Here is a 4,052-nt window from a genome sequence, read left to right as displayed (position 1 = left end):
GAGCAGTTACTCTGTGTGTGTGTGTGTGTGTGTGTGTGTATGCATGGATGTATGTATGTGTGAGATTGGAGGTGGTATCAGTATTAAACAAAGGGAAAACGTGCACTTTGGTCAGTGCTGGGAATAGCGAAGGATTTTTAAGGAAATGCCAATGTAGGTATCAATCTAGACTCTTGAAAAAGTATTGTTACTTGCCACTGCTGGCAACGTGATCTAGTGCACTTATGCCAGGATCCTTGATAACAATAACAATGTTGATCAACTTCAACCCCCAACAATTGTTTTACTGTTGGATTTGTTTTGTTTTTTCCTGAATATGAGGAGGTGAATTTAAGGTTTTCATCTTTGGCTTCCAAAAAGAAAGCAATTTGGCAGTTACAGTTTCCCACTACGTACAAATAAATCATGCTATGACACGAACCTAGTATCATTCTTGTCAACAATGATTATTATATGTCAGCTAGGTCAGCCTGACTTATCTGCATGAGAGATTTCATGACCAGTGGCTGCGACCAAAGTAACCACTGAAACACACTTACATTCTTTTTGGCTTAGACTATTTGGATGGCGAATGGTCACTTTGCTATGGGAAGAAAGCACCATCTTCCTTTTGGACAATCTTCGATAGGTAAGTGGAGGAGAGGGAAAATGATGATAACTAACCTTCGATGAGTATGCATGTCCTTCCAGGCACAATAATAAACACTACAACACTACATGCATTAATCATTCATTTATTTCTCATAACTGCTATTGTACATAAGTAACTAGGCTTGGAGAGATTAAACATCTTTCCCAAAGTCATATAGATGGTAAGTAGTAGATGTGGGATTCAAACCTTAGTTTGCCTGGATTTAAAGACTGAATTTTTTTTTTTTTTTTTTTTGAGGCAAAGTCTCACTCTGTCACCCAGGCTGGAGTGCAGTGGTGCAATCTCAGCTCACTGCAATCTCTACCTCCCAGGTTCAAGTGATTCTCCTGCCTCAGCCTCCTGGGTAGCTGGGATTACAGACCTGTACTACCACACCCGGCTAATTTTTGTATTTTCAGTAGAGATGAGGTTTCATCATGTTGGCCAGGCTGGGTCTTGAATTCCTGACCTCAAGTAATCCACCTGCCTCAGCCTTTCAAAGTGCTGGGATTACAGGCATGAGCCACTGCACCCGGCCTAAAGACTGAACTTCTAACCACTACTCCACACTGCCTTACCACCCTACCTAGGAATTGCCTTCTATATATCGTTTTCTTTCTCTGGCCCAATATGGAACTAAATTCTATTAATTCCCCATTCTGTTGTGAACCTACCTGTCCCTTGCTGTTGCCAATACACATTCTTATCCCACACTGGGGGTCACTGCACCATGTTTCTAGGTGGTCTGCCTACCTTTGCAATCTTTCCTTTTAATCTGTCTTGTACATTGACAGTCAGACTGATCTCCCTTAATCATCGTTTTTAGCATAAATTCTACCAGTATAGATTAGGCCTCAATTTTATGTCTACCTTGGCTCTGTATAGACCCTATTCTTAAAAAACTCAGCCAAGTCCAAGAGGTCAGTCCTGTGAATTTACACAACCACATATCCTATTGCCTACCCCAGTAATTTTAAACTAAGTCGAGATTTCATGACACCTATAGTACAATCCCATCCAGCGATCTGTCTTTTATTTTCCATATACAGCTTCAATTCAGCTAATCTAACTAGTCCAAGTTGATGAGGTTTAAATTTGGCAAACAATTATGTTATTGAAGATATACATTTTTTCTTTTTTCTTTTTGGCTCAGAAGACAGCATTGATACATTTTTTTCTATTGATTCAATAAATAATTATTGAGTTTCTACTTTTAATCTATTATTAGCTACTATATGGTCTTAATAATTTATAAAACTTTATAAATTCAAAAGAAAATATATATCTTCTAATGGTAAAATTAAGCCATCATCATTGTCTGCCACTTTTGTCTTGTTCTTCAGCTTTCTTTGCTATCTTCTTCCTCCAAGCCAGGTTGCAGGCGTCTCCAAATCAACCTGAGTCCTTTCCTTACCCCATAATCTCCTTTTCTTTTATGGTTCATCATTGCTCTTAGAATGTATGGATATTTGAGGTTATATTCATCCTCCATAAATAACACAAACTTTTTATTCATTGAACCATAAATAAATTTTTTAGAGAAAATTAAAAATGAAACAGATAAAACACCCACAAACATTTGGCACCTGGGGGCCATATCACTAATGAGGAATTCAAATGATGGCCGAGGTTGCAGGCCATCTTGCTACCTTCTCTCTCCTGTAGCTCCTTTGGCATAATATTTTTTGCCTTCTTGTTTTTCTCTTAGTCAGATTTCTTAATGTTTTTGCTTTTTAAAAATATTTCATATTAATTTTTAAAATAGAGATGGTGTCTCACTATGTTGCTCAGGCTGGTCTCGAACTCCTGGCCCCAAGTGATGCTCTTGCTTCTGCCTCTCAGAGTGTTGGGATTATACCTGGCCCACTTTTGCATTTTCAAAACATTTAACAGAATTTTTACAGATTCTTTTAACAAAGGAAAATTAAGTATGATTTTTATTCCAGTATAGTGGCATATCTGCTCTGCAGCCAACAAATTCAAAAGCCTATCAATCAATGGACAAGTGAAAGTATTAACAACATCTGCCACCATGTTGGCTATGAGTCCTTGAGATCTTGCCTGGTGATGTGCTGGCCTGAGTACAAGCCTGGGAAGGGGTTAGGGTTTCAACCAGCGTCTACAAGCTGCCAGCAGCTCCCTGCTTTGGAAGACTGATCCTGTGAACAGTGCCTGCTTTGAGTCTTAGGGTGTAGGTAAGAGAGAAGAGAAGTGCGCCGTCTACTAGGAGTGAGGCTGCAAAGATCAACAGCATGAATGGGGGTGGACTATGCAATTGGTGTTGTGGTGCCACAGGAAACAAGAGAAAAACAAGGGTGGGCAGCTCTTGGTGAGTAGGAAGCAACATGGGATCTGGGCAGCAGGTCGAGGGCTGTGGACTGGTGGGGAGGAGAGAGAAGAGGAGGGTCACAGCAGTCTTTAATGGAAAGCAGGAGGAATAAAATAGGAACAATTTATTTACTTTGTCCAGAATCCATCCATGATCCACGGCTTTGGGATTTAAAAACAAAAACAACAAAACAAAACAATGAAGCATGCCCAGTATCAGCATTGAGTCATTGTCAGTTTAAACAATCTGATTATCTTTTCAATCTAGAAATAGAAAATGTTTCAAGTATCTGCATTTCAACTTTAAAAACTGTAACAGGGATCACTACTTAGTAATTATAAATGCAATAGAAAAGCATGCATTGCATTTTCCTTCTACATTGTGGTCAATGGAAGCAGCCAGAGGAAGGAGGTAGAAAGAGAAGTGTACACAAAGGGGTGGAACAAGAGCTAAATGAGATTCTAACCAAGGCAAAACATTCACAGAGAGACCTATAGATTAGAGGCAAAGTAGCACAGACAGCCCACCATATATGTGGTTGAAAACGTGTTAATAAAGATGGTGCTACCTTCAATGGGATTGTGCACCTCAAGTTTGGCAGATTGGATAGTCATGGCCAACATGACTGTTAATGTATTTTCCTCTTTTAGAACAAAGTGATGAAAAGCAAGGGCTTCAAATGAGCAAAAGTTTGTCCAATTCGCAATCGAGTGAACATGCTATGGGTTCAGAGCCAGCTAATAGCTTCAGCTGACTTCTCAGTGCCCTTTATTTAATCAGCTGGAATGTTTTATAAGTACCATCCCTGTAACCCTTTGAAATGAAGGATTTGACTTTTGTTTGGAAAATACATATCTCATCATAGAAATGGAACACAATGTCCTTAGTTTAGTTATTCTCTAGAGAAACAGTCTTTATTGAAATATATGCCAGGAATATAATAAAGGAAAAAAGCTGATTATAGTGAATTTATTCAGGCATGAGAGACTAGGAGACATTTATCTATATGGAAAGGAGTGTAAACACTATAGGCTCCACTCCCAGGGTACCAATATTCATGGAACAAACTCTCAGAAGGAAATCAATCACTCT

The sequence above is a fragment of the Homo sapiens genome, chromosome 18, assembly GCF_000001405.40.
Source record: "Homo sapiens chromosome 18, GRCh38.p14 Primary Assembly".
NCBI classification, from domain to species: Eukaryota; Metazoa; Chordata; class Mammalia; order Primates; family Hominidae; genus Homo; species Homo sapiens.
Note: the sequence above shows the minus strand (reverse complement) of the source record.